Source organism: Homo sapiens, chromosome 5 (genome assembly GCF_000001405.40).
Source record: "Homo sapiens chromosome 5, GRCh38.p14 Primary Assembly".
Classification (NCBI taxonomy): domain Eukaryota; kingdom Metazoa; phylum Chordata; class Mammalia; order Primates; family Hominidae; genus Homo; species Homo sapiens.
Genome location: NC_000005.10, coordinates 37,189,426 through 37,207,331, shown reverse-complemented (window position 1 = coordinate 37,207,331; position 17,906 = coordinate 37,189,426). Strand labels below are relative to the sequence as shown.

Below are 17,906 nucleotides of genomic sequence, written 5' to 3'. Positions count from 1 at the left end.
TGTCAGAGAGCTAAAATGTTAGTTCTTGCAGTAGGCATAGCCTGTATAGGTCATGTGAGAAACTCACCATTTCGAGGAACAGAGAAGCTCATGAATGCTGTTTATGACTTTTATTTTGAGAGAATGAGTAAAAATCCCATCAACATGTATTTTTTAATAACATTTCTTTTATCCTATTTTTAAGTTGCTTTATCAAGTTACTTCAATTAGGGAAAGGGACAGAAGGCCAGGGGGAACGATATTATCCTTTTGTATTAAATCACAGGCCAGATGGCAATCTTATTATTTAGTCAGAATTACTGAACATCACACTTTTCTGCTTTGTAATCAACACTAATATTGACACTTAATATGCTTCATTGTTACCTCAACTTAGTCTTTTATTGCATAACACTGTGGGTAACACAAAGTCAGATAAAATGTAGTCTCTGCCTTCTACATTTCATAATCTAGTATGAGAAATAAACATGTATTTCTGAGCATCCCACAGTAATAAATTGCACATTGTGACCCATGTCACGGTAATAAATTGTACTTTGTGAACCAGTAGTATAGTAGATATAAATGTTTTTTGTATGTGTTTACATATTACCTGACACAAAAGTTTCATTAAACAGTATTTACCTTTATTTTGTGTCTGATACTTTCTATTCTGTTTTGTTTTTTTTCTCTTTTGTTTCATTTTTAAAATAATGCTGGCATTTGTTTCATGACCCACGAATGAGGCACATTCTTCAGTGTTAAAAGTGTTCTAGGGCATGTTGAGTATTACTTTAGCCCATTTTGTATGTATCTTCCTGGTGGTTTTTTGTAGATAATACTGATTGAAGAGATAAATATGCCCATGTAAAGAAGCATGAGTTTGGATGTGATTGTAATAATCCATTTTTAAAAATTTACTCACAGAGCAGTCCTTTCGACTTATTCCTCTGCAACACTCTAAGGTGGCCAGTGTTGTTAGAGATCAGAATCTCTCTAATGTGTGGACAGTTGAATATGCACTTGAATTACTATTTATTGGTGGCCTGGTTCCAGAGGCTGTGTGGTTGGCATATAAACTTGGAGACTGGAAGACGTCTGTTTCAATTGGTGTGGCTTTCCAGCTGTTCTGTAAACGTGATAGCAATTTCATGAGGTATGGATTTTTAGGCAATTTTAAGATATAGTATGATTGAACTATGTATTTTATATTTCTCTTATTGCTGGTATTTACATTTTATGTGGAATCCTTAGTTCAGCATTGTTCAATGGAACGTTCTTTAGTGATAGAAATGTGTTGTCCAGTATGGTAGCCACTCACCACAAGTAACTATTGAAATGCAGCCAGTGAGACCAAGGAATTAAATTTTCAATTTAACTTTAGTTAATTTAAATTAAAATAGCCACATATAGTTAGTGGTTACTGTATTGAACAGCTCAGTGGCTTACTTATTTGTGTTAAAACATTTATTAATAGCCAGGGGCGATGATCGTGCCTGTGGTCCCAACTACTTGGGAGGCTGAGGTGGGAAGATCACTTGAGCGCGGGAGGTCAAGGCTGCAGTGAGCCGTGATCATGTCATTACACGTCAGCCTGGGCAACAGAGTGAGACCCTGTCTCAAAACAAACAAAAACCATTTATTTAGCACACTTATGTGTTAGTAAAGCCCGTGTTTAGGGTAGCAATTAGAAATAAGAATGGGGGGAGTATATTAGGATCATAATCGTGGAGGGTCTTAATACAATATTTCCTTGAATATATCTTTTTTACATGTACGATAGATAAAAAAGTAAATTCCATTGTTTCTTAAACTTTCATGTTTAGTCCTTGATATGTGAAACCTTTCCTTTTTTTTCAAAATTTGGATTCATTTCCCTTAATTTGATGTCATTTCAGGTCCAAGAAAAAGAGTCTGAATCTACCACTCCGTATGACTCCAGCACAGATTTTTCAGGAAAAACTGCAGTGTGTTTTAGGTCAACCAGCCTCTTTGGAAGCAAAAAATGAAATGGGCTCAAAATATAAACAGTTTACAGGTGTGTTATGTATGTATAGTCTGATTCGTGTCAGATTAATATAAACCTTATAATACCTTAAAAAGTTTATACATGTCTACAAATGTATTAACACTTTGAAATAAACTTATCAAAAATGAAAGTATGATATTTATTTTTATTTTATTTTATTATTTTTTGAGATGGAGTGTTACTCTGCCACCCAGGCTGGAGTGCAGTGGCGTGATCTTAGCTCACTGCAAACTCTACCTGCCGGGTTCAAGCAATTCTCCTGCTTCAGCTTCCCGAGTAGCTGGGATTACAGGCGTGGGCCACCACGTCCGGCTAATTTTTGTAGTGTTTGTAGAGACAGGGTTTCACCTTGTTGGCCAGGCTGGTCTCAAACTCCTGACCTCAGGTGATCCGCCTGCTTTGGCCTCCCAAAGTGTTGGGATTACAGGCATGAGCCACTGCGCCCGGCTGAAAAATGAAAGTATGATATTTATACTTAACCATGGGAACACCCAAAATTGATGCCAGCTTACAATACAAGGGTTGATAACTGAATGATTTTCTGATTTTCCATACATGCCTTTTTTTTTTTTTTTAAATATTAAAGTAGCTTTCTTGATGCCGCAGTGTTACAGCTCTCTGACTCCTCCTGCAGAGCAAGGCCACCCCAGAGACTATGTTGAGAGTAGCCTTCATACATACCTTTACACTAATTATATTTCGCTTCATTTGTATCATTTTCTTTTGGAGCTGTAGAATCTCAAGCCTGGAAGGGTACTTAGGAGTGATTTATTTCAACTCTCACCTAGTGCATAAATTATAGATCTTTTTTATTTGAAAAGTTCAAAATGGTATTAAAAAATTAAAAATGATAGAATATTACATGTATTACATGGATTCACACAGGAATCCTATAAAATTTATCTGTTTTACAGTTGGAGAAATTTAGATAAAAAGTAATGAAATCAGTCATTTAATGTCGTATATTTAATGTAAAACCAGGGCAACTGTGAGGCCCTTCTGTTTTTATTGGTGCTTTGCTCCAGTAAAGAGTGAGACTTCTAACTCTAGATTCCTAAAACTTATAACATTTCTGTTTTGAGAGAACCTATAATGCTTGGAAATCTGACTATAAACTTTTCTTTGATAATTTTCTGTGCAGTTCTTTTGCTTTAATCAATGAAAAGATGTTACTGTGTGAAAGTTGGATTTTAAAGAAGGGACTAAAATATCCCCAGTCTGAACTTTGAGTTTTGGCAATATGTTGTTTTAAATGATCTGAAAACTCTTCCACGATAAATACATAGATAAAATGTGTTTCTAGATAAAATACAAAAAATATCCACTTAAAGGCCAAGCTTTAAATAAAGTAAGGGGAATTGCCAGAGGTCAGAAACAACAAGCAAATAAAAATTCAAAGGGTTCCATTTTTTTCTCTTTAGCTGCTCTTGAATGAATTCCATTCCATTAAAGAGAAATAGAAACAGGCCCATTCAAATATTCATGTACACAAAAATGTGTACATGAAGCCAGGCGCAGTGGCTCATGCCTGTAATCTCAATGCTTTGGGAGGCTAAGGCCAGCAGATCACTTGAGCCCAGGAGTTCGAGACCAGCTTGGGCAATATGACAAAACCCTGTCTCTACAGAAAATACAAAAATTATCCAGGCATGATGGTATATGCCTGTAGTCCCAGCTGCTTGGGAAGCTAACTAAAGTGGGAGAATCCCTTGAGCCTAGGAGGTCAAGTCTGCAGTGAGCCATGATTGTGCCACTGCACTCCAGCCTGGGTGACAGAGTGAGATCCTTGTCTCAAAAAATGAAACAAAACAAATATCCATACATGAATGTTTATAGCAACTTTTTCATAATAGCCAAAATTTGGAAACACCTCAAATGTCCGTCAACTGGTGAATGGATAAGCAAATTCAAATATATCTTTAAAATGGAATAACAAATAGTGAAGAGGAACAAATTGCTGATAACTTGTGACAACATAGATGAATCACAGAACCGTCATGGTAAGAAGTCCTGAAAGAAGTCAGGAACGAAGACTACATACCGTATGATTCCATTTCTGTGGCATTCTATAAAAAACAAAACTATAGGAGCAGAAAACAGATCAGGGGTTGCCTGAGAATAAACAGGGAATTGACTACAAAGAAGTATAACTTTTGGAGTGATGGAAATGTTATTACAAGCCAATATAGATTTGTTTAATTTTATTGAACTGTATACTTTAAAAAGGATGGATATAGTATGTAAATTATGTCTCAACCTGATTTAAAAACAAAAACTTCAATAGATGGTTAAAGTTACTAAACCAATTTAGGAGCAAATTTGTGAACTGGAAAAGATGAATCTGAGCTATTCATCTGAGCTATCATATACATATATATATATAAAATATATAAAGAAAGATAAATATATACAAAATAGATAGGGACATAGATTTGAAAAATATGAAAGAGAAGTTAAGCTTTGTAGAACACACAACAGAAAGACAACATATATTTAATTGGAATTCCAGTATATCCACACCAAATGCTGGATAGTGGCTACCTAAGTTGAATATAGCAAAAATGTTAATATCAGACAAGGATGAGAAGTCAGTACATAAGTGTTTGACATATTATATTCTGTACTTTCATATATTCTATATTTTACAGTATGCTTAAAATATTTCATAGTAGAAAAATCCCTGAGTTTCCAGTTCTACCACCACATCTTACATTTTGCCTTTTGGGACATGTGCACATATATATAGATATTTGCATAGTTGAAGCCGTACTATACATATGACTATTTTGTGTTTTCCTGTTTCCTTCATAAGTCATTTTTATTAACTTATTATTACAAAGTACTATCATGTACTATTAAGAAAAGGAAAAATGGCCAGGCACGGTGGTCATGTCTGTAATCCCAGGACTTTAGGAGGCTAGGTGGATCACCTGAGATCAGGAGTTCAAGACCAGCCTGACCAACATGGTGAAACCTCATCTCTACTAAAAATACAAAAATTAGCCTGGATAGTGTGTGCCTGTAATCCCAGCTACTCAGGAGGCTTAGGTGGGAAAATTGGTAGAACCTGGGAGGCAGAGGTTGCAGTGAGCCGAGATCCTGCCACTGCACTTCACACTCCAGCCTGGGTGACAGAGTGAGACTCCATCTCAAAAAAAAAAAAAAGGAAAAGTTACTCTCACACAATCTTTTATATTATTTTGGTGTCTTTCTTGACATTCTTTTCCCATTAATATTTTTTCAATTATTTTTGACTCAGAACTACATTCTAAGAATATTTTTATTGTATAGTTGTTTCTACAATATCTTGTATAAAAATGTCTCATGGTCTTACCTATAATCTTAAAGTAACAAGATAGTTTGTAATTTCTGTCTGTAAGTTTGGATGTTTGTATGTCAACCAATGTGTTCATTCTTGACAATGAATGTTTTTAGATTTGAAATTTTTTCCTACAAAATGGATAAGAAGTTTAATACAAGCTTTAACTATTTTACCAAATTTTTGTATTTGATAGATCCCATTGAAGAGGAAGATGCAAATCTGCTATTTGGTTCAGTACAAGAAGTACTGAAAGCATCAGTTATGGCCGATGCAGATATTCTTTCGGAGACATTTCAACTTCTGATAGACTCTGCCAAGGACTTCAGTAAAAGACTGTGGGGCTTAGTGCCATTCGGCTTGTATCTTCCAGCTCCTCCATTGTACTGTCCCCAGCCAGCTATTCTTAGTGAAGTAAGCTTATAGCATTAACTTTTAAATTAATTTAAAGTTGATTTTGTCAAGTTTTTAAAATAATTAACTTGATAATAATCATCAGGTTAAAAATTCAAGCTCTAAAGACAAACGTATAGATCCCAGCTTTGCTGTTCACTAATTGTATAATCTTAGGGAATGTACTAAACTGCTGTTTAAGTTTCCGTATCGGTTAAATGCAGATGATAATAGTACCTCTCATGGCATTTTTGTGAGGATTGAGATATCCTGTAAAATCTTCTAGCTCAGGACCTGGGACATATAGTAATTATTCAATAAATGTTAAAATTATTGTAACAATATAGCACAATTAATCTTAATATCCAGACTTTTAAAAATTAGGCATTTTTTAGGCTAACAAATGAAATAATGAGTGTCAGAATTAGAAGCCATACATTATTTCAGTCTCTTATTTATCTCTTTGTCTTTGCCTTTTTTGAAAGACTTGGCTGGGTGTAGTAGCTCACACCTGTAATCCCAGAACTTGGGAGGCCAAGGCGGGAAGATTGCTTGAGTCAAGGAGTTTGAGACCAGCCTGGGCAACATGGCGAAACCCTGTCTCTATAAAATATACAAAAATTAGCTGGGCATCGTGGCATGTGCCTGTAGTCTCAGCTACTCAGTAGGCTGAAGTGGGTAGATGGCTTGAGCCCGGGAGGTAGAGGTTGTAGTGAGCCGAGATTGCACCACTGCACTCCAGCCTGGGTGACAGAGCAAAACTCTGTCTCAAAAAAGAAAAGAAAGACTTATTTTTATTTGACTTTGTTTTAAAAGGTTTTTTTTTTCCTACACTATTCAATTGATAGTTCTATATTATAAATACTATATTCCTCTCAGAAACTTTTTATCTGCTCTTATTAAAAAATCATAACATTATAGTTAGCTGGTTTTAAGATTTAAAGTGTTATTATAAATTACTTACATTTAGACTTTTAAGTATTTGATTAACACTTTGAAGTGTTTCTGGGTATTATTTTTTTACTATCTCCTGTTTCAATATTGGCGACTTCTACCTCTAGTTTTTTATTTCTCATTTGTCCTATTTGGTTATATTTCAATAGTCTAAAACATTTTACTTGTTGATTTTACAAATGGAAGGAATAAAAAGTCCATGGCATTTCTCAATAATTCATCTTTCCTCTTGCATCTGAGTCTTTAGTAATTGGTTTAGAAATTTGAAATGACATTTAAAGTTTTTTGGATAGCCTGTGCAGATAATAGTTCGAGTAGTTTGAGTGGTTACTGCCTTTAGTAGTGCTTCATTTTATTCTTTTTTATTAAAGCAATTCTCCTTGGTAAGGTTTCTTCTAAATGTCACCGTATATCAGTTAGAACCCCTTGTGTTGCAAGTAATAAAACACTTGGTCAAAATGGTTTAAACAATAACGGCATTTATTGGTTCACGTGATGAAGAAGCCTAGTTGTAGGGCAGGTTTCTGATTTAGTTATGTTACCAAAGACTTGGGCTCTGTCTTTTGCTCTAGTTTGTTTTCTGAGGTGTCATCTTCACCTGAAGACTAGCTCCCCTTGTGGGAGCAGAATGGCCACTAACAGCTTCTAAGGATGCCTTGTCCATGTCCATGGGCACAGTGATTGAGACAAAGAGAAGTGGCAAAATTATTTCTGTCCCAGCATTCCAAGCAAGAGGATTGAGATTCACTCTTAGTGAGACTGGCTTGGGTCACATGCCTGTCCTTTAAACAGTCACTGTGGCTAGGCTTAACACAAGGTACTGCTTGGCCTGTGAATAGATCCTTCCTTGAGGTGGGATGAGCTTTCCCTCAATCATATGAGCCATGTAGGAGATGGGCAGATACTCAAAAACTGAGTACTGTTAAGAAGTGGGCAGGGAAGAAGGATGTTGGGGAAGCAGATGTTTACAATGCTCACATTATCTCATTATCTGGGAAAATAATCTTTAGCTACTGGTTTGGATAGCATTTATTCAACAAACATTTATTGGGTCCTACTATGTATCAGACTTGAGTGTGAACACTGTGGCCATACGAAGACAAATGACAAGGCCCTTCCTCTTGGGAGTTCTGAGTACAGTGGGATACAGGTATAAATTGATATGGAATAAATTGGTGAAAGCTACAGTAGAAGTGTGAACAAAGTGCTGTTGTAGCACAGAGGGATGGGCTTCACAGAGGAAGTAACATTGAAATATAAGTAGGATTCTTCCCAGCAGAGGAAGAGAAAAGGGATTCTGCTTAGATGGACCTCTCTGTAACATCCCACCAATGGAGTCTGGAGTAGCGGGCTTTAACTGTTCTAGCGTAAGACTGGGAACAAGGGTCAGCTTATCCCTTTACGTTGAGGGGAGATAACATTTCTCAATTCTAGAAATAGCCATAGTTGAAATCTCAGAGCCCGTGCCTCAGAATTTCCTTTATAAATCTCCAGGAACATCCTAGTTTGAGAAGCAGTGAGCATCATTAGCCTATCTTTTTTTTTTTTTTTTTTTTTTTTTGAGACAGGGTGTCCCTGTGTGGCCCAGGCTTGAGTGCAGTGATGCAATCATGGCTCACTTCAGCTTCCAACTCCTGAGCTCAAGCAGTCCTCCTGCTTCAGCCTTCCAAAGTGCTGGGATTACAGGCGTGAGCCACTGTGCTCAGCTCATTAGCCTATCTTTATTTTCATTTTAACATTCTAAATTTTCTCATTACTAGCCACTAAAATGGATTGTTTTATTTTCCTCAGGAAGATGGTGATGATCTTCTTTTAAAAGCTGAAAAAAATAATCGCCAGAAGGTATCTGGAATCCTTCAGCGTGTTCTCCTGCTTTTCCGGGCGGCTCAGTGTTCTTTTCCTGTAGCACAGTGGTATATATTGCAGTTGAGGTGGGCAAGAAAAGTCATGCAGAAGGTATGGAAATATCTTAGTCATTTACATGCTGTGTTAACTGAAATTACTCATATTTATATTATTGTTTTTATAATTGTTATATTTTCCCAAGGAGTCCTGCCCTATAAATCCACAAATTTCAGATTTATTCATAAACAAACAGACCAGATTCTTCCTGTTGAAAGGTGAGGACTCTGAACAGGGTCTCTAGGTTAGTTCCACCATGTCTAGCAAAAGATAGTGTAATCTAGTCCATTAATTCCAGGCAATTACAGTTTTTTTTTTTTCCAACTCCCCTGTCATTAAAGATTGAAACTCAGTCCAGGGCTTTCTCCCAGTTCTCCTTGAGGTGTTGTCTGTGTTCTGTGGGGCCTTCTGTGGGTTCAGAGAATGGAAAGTTATAGTTCATTCTCGTCTGTTTCCATCCGGTAGCCTCCACTAGTCAGGGTCTCCCCCTTGCTATTTTCTGAGATGTGCAATTCAGTTTGATTCCCAGGTGTTCATCCCCTTCTATATTGACTTCAGCTGAGCTGTCGCTTCATTCTTATCAGATATCTAGCCAGATAGGACACCTGGTAGGTCTTTTTATCTAGCTGAAAATCCTTTATATGCCTGCTGTCTCTCTTGGAAATGTGGAAATAAATTTCATCATCTCCAAATATTTTTAATTCAGCCTAAGTAAAATTAAATTAATTCAGCCTAATTAAAACAATATAATTATTTTTAGTAGGAACCTTTGGAGAGACTTTTAGATAACTTTGATAAGTTATCTAAAAGTATTTTTGAAACACAATGGAAACTGAAAGTAACTAGTGGTTGGTTGCCGGGGTTAGGGAGAGGAGGAAGTGGACAGTGACTACTTTTGTTTTTCTTTTTGGGGTGATGAAAATGACCTGGAATTAGACAGTGATGATGGTTGCCTAACTTTGTGAATATACTAAAAACCACTAATTGTACACTTTTAAAAGATGACTTTGATGATATGTGAGTTATAGCTCAATTAAAAAATGGTGCTGAAACAAAGATTCTGAGCCATATTAGTTTTCTATTACTACCCTACCAAATTAACACAAATTTAGCAGCTTAAAATAGCAGCCATTTAATATCCCACAGGTTCTGTGCATCAGAACCACCACAGGGTGGTTCAGCTAGGTCTCTGCTTAGAGTCTCACAAGGCCAATCAAGGTGGCAGCGGGGCTACATTCCTTTCTAGAGGCACTAGGGGAACATCCGTTTCCAGGTGCATTCAGATTGTTGGTAGAATTCAGTTGCATGTGGCTGTAGAACTGTGGTCCCCCATTTCTTTGCTGGCTCTCTCTCTCTCTACCTCTTAGTACCATCCTGGTAGTAAATGCCATTAATGTATTTGACAAGAAGTCTGTCATTAGCATGCTTCCCAGGAGATTTGATTAGATTGTGTCTTTCTGGAAGTGACACTAGCAGGAGAAAATCAATTGCAAGCCTGCTGTTAATGCTTCCTTCCCAGGTTTATGTCTCTTAGAGCCCTTTCCTGAAACGTGGAAATAAATTTTATCATCTCCAAATATATTTAAATCAGCCTGTTATCTGTAGAAGCTCCCCTCTTTTTATTCTTGGTTTGTTAAAAAAAAAACTAGGTAATTTTTCCTGCACCATATTCTAGATTTGTCTGATCGTTTCTTCATTTAGTGTCGTTTAGCTTGTTTCTCTTTCCTTTTTTTACCCCTGTAACCCGGTCATTAATCTGTGCTCATTGAGGTAGAGAGGTTTAAATAGATTGGAGTTCAAATTTTCTTTTTTTTTTTCCTTTTTTCTTTTTTGAGACAGCATCTCACTCTGTCGCCCAGGCTGGGTGCAGTGGCATGGTCTCGGCTCACCGCAACCTCCGGCTCCCGGGTTTAAGTGATTCTCCTGCCTCAGCCTCCTGAGTACCTGGGACTACAGGCGCCTGCCACCTCGCCCAACTAATTTTTGTGTTTTTAGTAGAGATGGAGTTTCACCATGTTGGCCGGGCTGGGCTCAAACTTGACGTCAAGTGATCTGCCCACCTCGGCCTCCCTAAAGTGCTGGGATTACAGGTGTGATCCACCTCGCTTGGCCTCAAATTTTTTTAGAAATGAATCTTTCATAAGTATTGTGCACTTCTCTCTCGCACATGGCACATGTGTTTGCTTATTTTAATTTTAGGGATGAGGAGATTGAGTTTGGATCGTGTCACACCCTCTATCAAGTATCCCCGTCAACCCCTCAGCTTTTTACTCTGTTAGCATTTACTAATGATCCTTGCCTAGAGTCATTATTAGGGGCTGCCAAATGGTGTCTTTCTAATTCTGCCATTTATAGATTAGTTTTTTAAAAGTTATGTATGTAGGCATAATTTTTTTGTATTTGTTTTAGTTACTGTACACAGCTTTATTTGGGATAAGATTAAGATTCTTAAATTTCTTTATTTTCTTTGCTATGCCAGTGAGGAAAGCCAGGGAAAAATAGCATTAAATTCTTCTTATACAGGCAAAATTGTGACAAGAGAGTACAAATGATTTACTTAGAACCTTTTTTTTTTTTGAGATAACAAGCTAGTGACTTTCCTGAATTAAATTTGTAAGTTTCTGAAAATATAGCTGATTTCATGTGCTGTGTTTTCCATTCTGTGTGGCTTATCTTACCTGCCTGATTCTTTTATAGTTTCTTTTAAAAGTGATTTATACAGCTGATAATTAACATGTTCGGTTATTCTTTACTTTTAGATTCGAATGAAAGGATCCCTTCCTTCACTGAGTCCTTTTCCTCAGTCATTACTTAATTACTGTAAAGGAGGTATCGCATTTTTTAGACCTGGAGCAGCTGGAGACCACAAGCTTGATGAAGTTTCCATTAGAGCAATAGGTTTGTCCAAAATGAACTGCTTGCTTAGAGTATGAATGATGGTATATTTTTCATTTGATTTGGGAAAGTATTGACTCTTCAAAGTACAATATGCTCTGATATTTTACTTTGTGTTTACAAGTAAATATTGTACTTTAACAGCTATGTATATATATATGATATATATGATAGTAAGTCAGAAATTTCTTATATAAACAAATTGTGATACCTATTACCTTATGTCATGCTTCATTATTTAACTGAATTTTTTTTTTTTTTTGAGACAGAGTCTGGCTCTGTTGCCCAGTCTGGAGTGCAGTGGCATGATCTTAACTCACTGCAACACACCTCCTGGGCTGAACCTATCCTTCCACCTCAGCCTCCTGAGTAGCTGGGATGACAGGTGCACACCACCACACCCAGCTAATTTTTGTATTTTTTGTAGAGGCAGGGTTTTGCCATGTTGCCCAGGCTGATCTTGAACTCCTCAGCTCAAGCAGTCTACCTGCCTTGGCCTCCCAAAATGTTGGGATTGCAGGCATGAGCCATTGCGCCTGACCTAAATTAATTTCTTAATTCGTGGTCTATGTCCAGTTATTTGCCTAACAAGTTTAAAAAGAAGTAAAACTTTAGATATCATTTCACTCTTTCCTCCTTAATCCTTCCTTAATCCTTATCAGTTCTATTTATATTAAGCCCTGATCTTATCTTTTTTTTTTTTTTTGAGATGGAGTCTTGCTCTGTCTCCCAGGCTGGAGTGCAGTGGCGTGATCTCGGCTCACTGCAAGCTCTGCCTCCTGGGTTCCCGATATTCTCCTGCCTCAGCCTCCCAAGTAGCTGGGACTACAGGCACCCGCCACCGTGCCCGGCTAATTTTTTTTGTATTTTTTAGTAGAGACGGGGTTTCACCGTGTTAGCCAGGATGGTCTTGATCTCCTGACCTCGTGATCCACCTGCCTCGGCCTCCCAAAGTGCTGGGATTACAGGTGTGAGCCACCGCGCCTGGCCAGCCCTGATCTTATCTTTAGACTTTGATTAAAATGTTTATTTTAGAGCTGGGCACAGTGGTGTAATCCCAGGTACTTGGGAGGCTGAGGTAGGAGGTTGCTTGAGCCTAGGAGTTTGAGGGTCTTGTGTGCAATGATTGTACCTGTGAATAGCCACCGCACTCCAGCCTGGGCAACGTAGTGAGAGCCTGTCCCTAAAAAAAAAAAAAAAAAAGTTTATTCTTAACTCACTCACCCTTAGTATAATCTTACATGTCCTGGGGCTCAGATTGTCTGTTTTTCCAACCGAAACGGCATTGAAATGCTTCTTGATTGCTTCTCTCACCTGTCATGAGCTTAGTTTCATAGACTCTTCATTCACGTAACAAAAGGGCCAGGCAGGTGTCATCTGGAAAAGTATGTACAATCTCATTTATTTCTTAAAAATCTAGGTCTGTAAGAAGTGAGTTAAATTCACAACAATCCCAGTTAAAAGATATTTGCTCATAAATAGGGACATAGTCCTTTGAAATGACTTAAATAAAGATTTGAACACATATTTTTAATATTTTCATTTTGATCATGAGTTCTACTGTTTAATTATTCTTTTGTTTGATTTGGTCTCTTGATTGTTGAGAAGTGATTTGGCTAGATTAAAAAGTTTCCTTTCTGGCTGGGCGTGGTGGCTCATGCCTGTAATCCCAGCACTTTGGGAGGATGAGTTGGGCGGATCACAAGGTCAGGAGTTCGAGACCAGCCTGGCCAGCATGGTAAAACCCTGTCTCTACTAAAATATGCAAAAAATTAGCCAGGCATAGTGGTGTGCACCTGTAATCCCAGCTACTCGAGAGGCTGAAGCAGGAGAATCACTTGAACCTGGGAGATGGAGGTTGCAGTGAGCCAAGATTGCACCATTGTACTCCAGCCTGGGTGACAGGACGAGACTCTGTCTCAAAAAAAAAAAAAAAGAAAAAAAAAGTTCCTTTCTGGCCAGGTGCGGTGGCTTATGCCTGTAATCTCAGTACTTTGGGGAGGCTGAGGCAGGAGGATTCCTTGCGCCCAGGATTTCTAGGCTGCAGTGAGCTATGATCTTGCTACTGATCTCCAGCCCGGGCGGCAGAACAAGACCCTGTTTCTTTAAAAACAAAAACAAAAACAAAAAAACAAGGTTCCTTTCCCTAGTTTGTTACCTAAAATAGTAGATTTTAACTCTTAATTTTATTTATTTATTTATTTTTGAGATGGAGTCTTATTCTGTCACTCAGGCTGGAGTGCAGTGGCACAATCTCGGCTCACTGTAACCTCCATCTCCTGGGTTCAAGTGATTCTCCTGCCTCAGCCTTCCCAGTAGCTGGGACTATAGGCACCCGCTGCTGCGCCCAGCTAATTTTTGTATTTTTAGTAGATATGGGGTTTTGCCATGTTGGCTAGGTCGGTCTCAAACTCCTGACCTCAGGTAATCCGCCTGCCTCAGCCTCCGAAAGTGCTGGGATTACAGGTGTGAGCTACCATGCCTGGCCCAGGATTTCACACTCTTTTGAAGTTTTTTTATTACGGAAAATTTAAACCAAAGTAGAGATGTATAAGCACTCGAGTACCTCTCACCCACTTGCAACAATTGTCAACACATGAAAGCAAATCTGAGTACATCATAAGTACAATAAGTACTTCAGTATATGTAGTGAACAGATGAAGTTTTGTTGTTGTTGTTGTCGTTTTTTTTTTAGTTGGAGTCTTGCACTGTCGCCCAGGCTGGAGTGCAGTGGCATGCACAATCTCAGCTCACTACAACCTCTGCCTCCAGGTTCAAGCAATTCTCCGCCTCAGCCTCCTGAGTAGCTGGGATTACAGGCGCGGGCCACCACACCCAGCTAATTTTTGTACTTTTTAGTAGGGCGGGGTTTCACCGTGTTGGTCAGGCTGGTCTTGAATTCCTGACCTCGTGATCCACCTGCCTCGGCCTCCCAAAGTGCTGGGATTACAGGCGTGAGCCACTATGCCCGGCCCAGATGAGGTATTTGTTTTTTTTTTTTTTTTTTGATGGAGTCTAGCTCTGTTGCCCAGGCTGGAGTGTAGTGGCACGCTCTCGGCTCACTGCAAGCTCGGGTTCCCACCATTCTCCTGCCTTAGCCTCCCGAGTAGCTGGGACTACAGGCGCCTGCCACCACACCCAGCTAATTTTTTGTATTTTTAGTAGAGACGGGGTTTCACCGTGTTAGCCAGGATGGTCTCAATCTCCTGACCTCGTGATCTGCCCGCCTTGGCCTCCCAAAGTGCTGGGATTACAGGTGTGAGCCACCGTGCCTGGCCAGATGAGGTATTTTTTAAAACCATAATTCTATTATCATGACTGACAAAATTTACAATAAATCTTTAATATCATATATAGTCAGGCCTGCTTAATGATGGGGCTACGTCCTAAGAAATGTGTCATTAGACAATTTTGTTGTGTGACCATAGGATATACTTAGACAAAAATAGCCTCATACACACTGAGGCTATGTGATACGGCCTTTTGCTTTTAGGCTACAAACCTGTACAAGAGGATTGCTTGAGCCTAGGAGTTCAAGGCTATTGTATGCAATGATTGCACCTGTGAATAGCCACTGCACTCCAGCCTAGGCAACATAGTGAGACCCTGTCTCTAAAAAGAAGTGTTGCCATATTGAATACTGCAGTACTGAATACAGAATGTGACTACACTGAATACTGTAGGCAGTTTTAACACAATGGTAAATATTTGTATATATAAACATATCTAAACATTGAAAAGGTACAGTAAAAATACAGTATAAAAGATTTTAAAAAATGGTAAGTATGGGTCACTTACCATGAATGGTGCTTACAGGACTGGAAGTTTTTGCCCCAGGGGAGTCAGTGAGTGGGTGGTGAGTTAATTTGAAGGCCTCGGACATTTCTATACACTACTGTAGACTTTATAAACACTGTACACTTAGGCTATACTAAATTTATTAAAAATATTTTTCTTCCATAATAAATTAACCATAGATTATTGTAATGTTTTTACTTTATGAACTTAAAAAAAAATTAAAACCTTTTTGACTCTTGTAATCATACTTGGCTGAAGAGACATACAGTGGCATAATCACAGCTCACTGCAACTTCAAAGTCCTGGGCTCAAAACATTCTCTAACCTCAGCCCCTTGAGTACTGGGACTACAGGCGTAAGCCACTGTACCAGCTAATTTATTTTTTAGTTTTTGTAGAGATGGGGTCTCTGTTGCCCAGGCTGGAGTGCATTGGTGCCATCTTGTCTCACTGCAGCCTCTGCCTCCCGGGTTCAGGCATTTTTCCTGCCTCAGCCTCCTGAGTAGCTGGGACAACAGGCATGTACCACCATACCTGGTTAATTTTTGTATTTTTAGTAGAGACGGGGTTTCACCACGTTGCCCAGGCTGATCTTGGCCTCCTGAGCTCAAGCGATCCACCTGCCTCTACCTCCCAAAGTGCTGGCTTTACAGGTGTGAGCAACTGCACCTGGCCTAATTTTTTTTATTTGTAAAATAGAGACATGGTCTTACTATGTTGCTCACGCTGGTCTAAACTCCTGGGCTCAATCGATCCTCCCGCCTCAGCCTGCCGAAGTGCTACGATTACAGGTGTGAGCTACTGTGCTTGGCCAGGCTTTTTTCTATTGAAAAATTTTAAAGTTTATTTTTTACTGTTTAAACTTTTTTTTTTAATTTAAACTAAGACACAACATATTCATTAGTCTAGGCCTACATAGGGTCAGGATCATCAATCTCTCTGTCCTCCACCTCCACATCTTTTTCTACTGGAAAGTCTTCAGGGGCAATACCATGCTTGGAGATGTCTTCTCTTATAACAATGCCTTCTTCTAGAATAACTCCTGAAGGACCTGCCTGAGGCTATTTTACAGTTTTTTTTAATAAGTAAGAGTATACGCTAAAATAACGATAAAAAGCATAGTATAGTAAATAAATAAACCAGTAACAGTTGTTTATTATTATCAAGTATTATGTACTGTATATAATTGTATGGGCTAGATTTTATATGACTGGCAGTGCAGTAGGTGTGTTTACACAGTTGTCACCATAAACACCTGAGTAATGTGTGGACTATGATGTCATGATGTCTCTAGGTGACAGAAATTTTTCAGCTCCATTATAATCTTATGGGTGCACCATAGTATATGCAGTCTGTCATTGACCTGAGTGCCATTATGTGGCATCTGACTATGTTATCTATCCCATGTTTAAATTTACTTGATAATTTCAAATATGTCTTTTCTATAGTTTTTTTAAAAAAATCTATCCAATCAAGGTCCACCACACATTGCATTTTGGTTGATATATAAATCTTTCTCTTTTTATAGTGTGATCGTAGCTCACTGCAGCCTTGACCTCCCAGGTTCAAGTGATCCTTCTACCTCAGCCTCCTGAGTAGCTGGGACTACAGGTGTGCACCACCAGGCCTGGTTTTTTTGTTTTTTTTTTTCATTTTTTCATAAAGACAGGGCCTCACTTTTTTGCCCAAGCTGGTCTCGAACTCCTGGGCTCAAGCAGTCCTACCTTGACCTCCCAAAGTGCTGGGATTACAGGCAGGAGCTACCATGCCTGGCCTATAAGTCCATCTTAATCTATAAAAGTTTCCTTGCCCCCATTCTGTTTCATGCCCTTTATTTATTGTGGAAACTCGATCGTTTGTCTAGTAGAACCCGTTCTATTCTGGTTTCAGTTGGTTACATCTTTTTGGTATTCAAACATTTTTGACCATGATTTAAAATAAGTGCAGATTTTATAGCAAGGTAATACATGCACACACCCATATGAAGTTAGAATGAAAATTTAATGAACTACCTTTACTCTTACTGTGTGCAATGCACTCTTCTTTTCTTTTCTTTTTTTTTTTGAGACAAAATCTCAAGTCTGTCACCCAGGCTGGAGTGCAGTGGCGTGATCTCAGCTCACTGCAATCTCCACCTCCCCGGTTCAAGTGATTCTTCTGCCTCAGCCTCCCAAGTAGCTGGGATTACAGGTGCACACCACCACGCCCAGCTAATTCTTGTATTTTTAGTAGAGATGAGGTTTCACCAGGTTGACCAGGCTGGTCTCGAACTCCTGACCTCAGGTGATACACCCACCTCGTCCTCCCAAAGTACTGGGATTACAGGCATGAGCCACTGTGCCCGGCTGCAATGCACGCTTGATATATTCTGTTGTATTCTATTTTAAAAAGATGATTGAGACTCACTGAATTGATTTTATAGCCTAGTAACTAATAAAAGGTTGTAATCCACAGTCTGAAAAACACAGATAAAGGATGTTTTTAGATGAGTCACTGTTTAGTATGTTGCTGCACTGTGTCTTGCTAGTTCTTGGCCTTAGTTCTATCCCAGCTTGCCTGTGAAATATGAAATAATGAAACACATCTGTCAGTAATGATGCCTTTCTCAAAAGATTGGGCCGTGCTCCCCCGGCAGAAT

General features: G+C 38.7%; 1 protein-coding gene across 50 annotated transcripts in view; it reads left to right on the top strand.

Annotated features, from left to right (window-relative positions):
• Positions 1 to 17,906, top strand: part of CPLANE1 (ciliogenesis and planar polarity effector complex subunit 1) — a 173,708-nt gene that overhangs the window by 42,045 nt on the left and 113,757 nt on the right. For 44 of the 50 annotated variants that reach the window (XM_047417575.1, XM_047417572.1, XM_047417573.1 and 41 more), the window contains 5 exons: positions 907 to 1,135; positions 1,878 to 2,017; positions 5,524 to 5,741; positions 8,466 to 8,630; positions 11,336 to 11,474. In XM_047417575.1, the coding sequence (XP_047273531.1) occupies positions 907 to 1,135; positions 1,878 to 2,017; positions 5,524 to 5,741; positions 8,466 to 8,630; positions 11,336 to 11,474 (891 nt within the window). Of the gene's footprint in view, positions 1 to 906; positions 1,136 to 1,877; positions 2,018 to 3,920; positions 4,009 to 5,523; positions 5,742 to 8,465; positions 8,631 to 11,335; positions 11,475 to 17,906 lie in introns of those variants that run through there. The other 6 variants (XM_047417560.1, XM_047417559.1, XM_005248350.5 and 3 more) reach the window with 2 other exon arrangements.